Source organism: Homo sapiens, chromosome 15 (genome assembly GCF_000001405.40).
Source record: "Homo sapiens chromosome 15, GRCh38.p14 Primary Assembly".
NCBI classification, from domain to species: domain Eukaryota; kingdom Metazoa; phylum Chordata; class Mammalia; order Primates; family Hominidae; genus Homo; species Homo sapiens.
Genome location: NC_000015.10, coordinates 30,619,510 through 30,624,928, shown reverse-complemented (window position 1 = coordinate 30,624,928; position 5,419 = coordinate 30,619,510). Strand labels below are relative to the sequence as shown.

Here is a 5,419-nt window from a genome sequence, read left to right as displayed (position 1 = left end):
GTAAGTACATTAATGGCGGCACTTATCAGTTGAGAGAAGTGCGCTAAGGAAAGGAATATGATTCTATGATAGCGTATAATAAAAGATCCTTGACCGGGGAGGGGAAACGTACCAGTGATTAACTGATCTGAAGAATCAGTATAAATTGACTTTGTAGAAAGTATAGGTGGATGGCTGAGTGGGACCATCATTCAGGAAGCAAATGCCTGCAGAAAAAAACATCAATTTTAACAAGAAACAGTGTATCAGAGATGAAACTGAACCTATTCCTTGTCTTTTCTTCTTGCTTCAGACATAACTTTAAAAAATTGCTTACGCTGTCTTTAGCCACATCTCTTCCCCAAACTCCACACTGTTCTGCGTTTTAGCCGTCTCAAATTTCCTTTTCTTAAAGACCCATGACAATCTTCAGTGTTGTGTCTTTTTCTACGTCATAATCCTTTTTTAAAGCTGAGCTCTTTTTGTTTTTCGTCTCCTTTCTCTTTTTTTTTTTTTTTTTTTTTTTTTTTTGTGACGGAGTCTCGCTCTGTCGCCCAGGCTGGAGTGCAGTTGCACAATTTCGGCTCACTGCAAACTCCACCTCCCACGTTCAAGCAGTTCTCTGCCTCAGCCTCCCAAGCAGCTGGGATTACAGGCGTCTGCCAGCAGGCCCGGCTAATTTTTGTATGTTTAGTAGAGACGGTGTTTCACCATTTTGGCCAGGCTGGTCCTGAACTCCTGACCTCGTGATCCACCCGCCTCGGCCTCCCAAAGTGCTGGGATTACAGGTGTGAGCCACCACATCCGGCCCTTCCTTTCTCTTAAGATGAAAATATTGGTTCTTTTTTCCTACACACAAGGAGGCAATGAAAATATTGGTTCTTTTCATTGCCTTAATTATTATTAATGTTACTATTAATAAATATTAATAGTAACATAATGGTTATTTGCTTCATCTACCTATATTCACAGGTATGTAAAAACAACAATAGCAATAACAGGATAAAGAATAAAAACAGAATAACAATAGAGATATTGCTAACAGATAAATGAAGTTTAACTTTGCATGTACTTCCTTTTTTCTAAAATTGTATCCAACTAAGGATGTAAAATCAAGATACTGTGTTTTAAATGAACTGGGCATAATTATTCTTTTTGGTTATATATGGATGTACTGTAGTTTATTTAGCCAGGCCCTTACTAGTGGATATGTGGACTATTCCCAGTCTTTTGCTATACAAAAGTTTCCTTGTGCATATATAATATGCTTTTGCCAGTGGGTCTTTAGCATAGATTTCTATAAATGGGATTGTTAGGTCAAAGGGTAAAAGAACATGTTATTTTGTTTAATTCTGCCAAATTCCCCTTCATAGGGGTTGTGCAGTTTTGTATTCACACCAGCAGCATTTCCTGTTTCTCTGCAGCCTCTCCAATAGAATGAATTGTCAAACTCCTAGATGTTTGCTAAATCGATATGTGGGAAATGTTATCAAAGTGTAGTTTTTTTTTTTTTTGAGACGGAGTCTCACTCTGTTGCCCAGGCTGGAGTTCAGTGGCTCTATCTTGGCTCACTGCAACTTCTGCCTCCCAGGTTCAAGTGATTCTCCTGCCTCAACCTCCTGAGTAGCTGGGACCACAGGCAATCACCACCACGCCTGGCTAATTTTTGTAATTTTAGTAGAGACAGGGTTTCGCCATGTTGGCCAGGCTGGTCTCGAACTCCTGACCTCAACCTATCCACTCACCTCGGCCTCGCAAAGTGCTGAGTTTACAGGCATGAGCGACTGCGCCCAGCCTTCAGTATAGTTTTGTATTTATCTTTTTGTCAATGAAGTGGAACATTTTTTCAAATGATGCATGCATACGACAAAGTATTATGAAGCTGTTAAGGAATGTGGAAGATATATGACTATGATGTGAAGTGAAGTGAAAAAGCAATGCATAAAAGAGTGTATATAGTATGCTGCCTTTGGTATACGGGGTGGTAGAGATACATATACAAATGGATACTTACTTATATTTTCAAAAATAAACAATAGAAAGGTAAACCAAAATCTAATAAAAATGGTAAACAATAGGAGAAGATCAAGAACAGGTGAAGTAGAAAATAGGAATGGAAGCTAGACCTCTCTGAATATATCTTGTTTTATATATAAACTTGGAACCCTGTAAATGTGTAACATGTTTAAAATACAAAATAAGGCCAAAATAAGGTGGTGGCTCACGCCTGTAATCCCAGCACATTGGGAGGCCGAGGTGAGCGGATCACCTGAGGTCAGGAGTTCGAGACCAGCCTGGCCAACGTGGTGAAACCCCGTCTCTACTAAAAATACAAAGATTAGCCATGCGTGGTGATGCATGCCTGTAATCCCAGCTACTTGGGAGGCTGAGACAGGAGAATCGCTTGAACCTGGGAGGCGGAGGTTGCAGTGAGCCAAGATCCGGCCACTGCACTTCAGCCTGGGTGACACAGTGAGACTCCATCTAAACAAAATAATAATAAATAAAATAAAATAAAATGTAAAAGCAACTCCTAAAATGGAAAACAAAGTGCAATAAATCAATCTTTTCACCTGTTTAAGGGCTATTTGTACTTCTTTTTATTTAAATTGTCCATCTTTTACTTTCAGGATGGTCTTTAAAAATATTTTAGAAGCTTTTTATATATTAGTCCCTCATGATATAAGCTGCATATATTTTTTAGACTTTTTGCCTTGCTTTTTTGTTTGTTTAAATTATAGTTAATCTCTTCCCTTAATGCTTCTGGATTCTGATTATAGATAGGAGTATTTTCCCCACTTCTGAGTTATAAAGGTATTCACTCTTGTGAATTCTAGTACTTAATTTTCTAGTACTGCTATGTTTTCATTTGTTAATGTTAGATCTCTGAGGCTGGAGTGCAGTGATGCGACCTCTGCTCACTGCAACCTTCACCTCCCGGGTTCAGATGATTCTCCTGTCTCAGCCTCCTGAGTAGCTGAGACTACAGGTGCATGCCACCACACCTGGCTAATTTTTGTGTTTTTAGTAGAGACGAGGTTTCACCATATTGGCCAGGCTGGTCTTGAACTCCTGACCTTAGGTGATCTGCCTGCCTCTGCCTCCCAAAGTGCTGGAATTACAGGCGTGAGGCACCGCGCCCGGTCCTTAAATTTGGAATTTATCCAGTGTAGAAAGAATGGATCCAATTTTATGTGTTACCCCACACAGCTATCCAGCTGTAGATATTGTAATTTTATTTCATTTAGTGAACTCCCACACCTACTTCTAAAAGTAGGAAAACACTACTGAAAACCTCACTGAGTTCCCTGACGATGAAAAGGGAAATCTTTCGTTAAGCATTAGGCTTTGCTTTTAGTGCCACTAGATGGCACACATCCTTTTCCTTAGATGTTAGTTCACCTAACCCTCATTTCTGTGAAATCAGTCCATAAAGTGTCTGCCAAAGGGCCTTCCTGAACCTTTTACCTGCATCCCTGCTGGAAATAAGATGATTTGTGCAACTTTCAAATTAGGTCCGAGTTTTTTTCTGTAAAACCAAAATGATTGTTCCTAGAATCACTGCCTCTAGGGCCTGGCACATTCCACAGACACATTGTTCCATTTATTTATTTATTTATTTGAGACGGAGTCTCGCTCTGTCCCCCAGGCTGGAGTGCAGTGGTGTGATCTCGGCTCACTGCAAGCTCTGCCTCCCGGGTTCACACCATTCTCCTGCCTCAGCCTCCCGAGTAGCTGGGACTATAGGCGCATGCCGCCACGCCCGGCTAATTTTTGTATTTTTAGTAGAGACGGGGTTTCACCGTGTTAGCCAGGATGGTCTTGATCTCCTGACCTCGTGATCCGCCCGCCTCAGCCTCCCAAAGTGTTGGGATTACAGGCGTGAGCCACCGCGCCCGGCCACATTGTTCCATTTATTAATAAAACAGAAATGTCTATCATATTCTGTCCTAAATGTGGACTAAGATGGAAAATAGTACAGTGATTTCCTGAGGTCACTGGGCTATCACCAGAATAGTAGACACTGTGGTGCTTCACCTAGATCCCCCTCCAGGCTGAGGTGCTCACTCGCCCCACTTGCAGAAGTGTTGGTTCCTCATGGCTCACAACAAAGTCCCCCTCTGAGAGCTGCTCCATGAAAAGGACCTGCCTCACCCCAAGTGATGCCTTCCCCTGGGCAGTCTACGTTCCGTGCCTGGTTAATATGGGGTTTCATAGGCCTGGCCCCCATATCTCAAGACAACGGAAGGACTTCCCAGCTCTAGAGCTTCCTGAAGGAGCAGCTGAGATGGTGGCAACTGTTTCACAGGCTGCCCAATCCTGTTTCTTTTACTCCTTTACTTGTGTTGTTCCAAGAGCCTTCCCAAGTAAGCCTCCTGTGGGGAAATCTCCATCTCAGTACCTGTTTTTCAGGCAACCCAACTTAAGATACAGGGCCAATGGATTTCCCTAAACAGTGCTCTAAACTAGAGCCTTGCTATTCAAATACGGCATAGGTATCGCCTGGAAACTATAGCCATGTGTCTCTTAATGACAGAGATACCTTCTGAGAAATGCATTGTTAGGCAATTTTGTCATTCTGCAAACATCATAGAGTGTACTTACATCAACCTAGATGGTGTAGCTGACTACACACACACCTAGTTATGTGATATAATCTATTGCTCCTAGGCCACAAACCTGTACAGCAGATTACTGTACTGAATACTGTAGGCAATTGTAACACAATACCAAGTATTTTATGTATCTTAACAGATTTAAAATTTGTGATATAACATTTAAATTTTTTTCTTTTTTTTTTTTTTCTTTTTTGAGATGGAGTCTTGCACTGTCACCAGGCTGGAGTGCAGTGGCACAATCTCAGCTCACTGCAACCTCTGTCTCCCGGGTTCAAGCGATTCTCCGACCTCAGCCTCCCGAGTAGCTAGGACTATAGGCGTGCACCACCACGCCCAGCTAATTTTTGTATTTTTAGTAGAGATGGCGTTTCGCCATGTTGGCCAGGGTGGTCTTGATCTCTTGACCTTGTGATCCACCCACCTCGGCCTCCCAAAGTGCTGGAATTACAGGTGTGAGCCGCTGCGACCGGCCACAGATTTAAAATTTTACCTGCGTAGGGTACTTACGAGTGGAGCTTGCAGGACTGGAAGTTGCTCTGGGTGAGTCAGTGAGTGGTGAGTGAATGTGAAGGCCTAGGACCTTACTGTACATTGTTATAGACTTTATAAACAGCATATACTTAGGCTACATTAAGTTTATTAAAATTTTTTCCTTCAGTAATAAATTAAGGTTAGCTTACTATAACTTTTTAATTTCATCAGCTTTTAAATTTTCTTAACTTTTGACTCTTTTGTAGTAATAGCTCAAAACACAAACACATTGTACAGCTGTACAAAAATATTTTCTTTCTATCCATATTCGGTAAGATTTTTTTCTATTT

At 41.5% G+C, this 5,419-nt stretch overlaps 1 long non-coding RNA gene across 7 annotated transcripts in view, besides 1 other annotated feature; it reads left to right on the top strand.

Moving 5' to 3' along the window:
* ARHGAP11B-DT (ARHGAP11B divergent transcript) overlaps window positions 1-5,419 on the top strand; it is a 34,584-nt gene that overhangs the window by 850 nt on the left and 28,315 nt on the right. The gene's annotated exons all lie outside the window — the stretch shown is intronic.
* Window positions 1-5,419: part of a non allelic homologous recombination region, noted in NCBI's record as "15q13 proximal microdeletion recombination region, recombines with the 15q13 distal microdeletion recombination region", that runs on past both edges of the window. NCBI's record gives the evidence for it as "EXISTENCE:DNA microarray evidence [ECO:0005524][PMID:25326701]" and "EXISTENCE:nucleotide sequencing assay evidence [ECO:0000219][PMID:25326701]".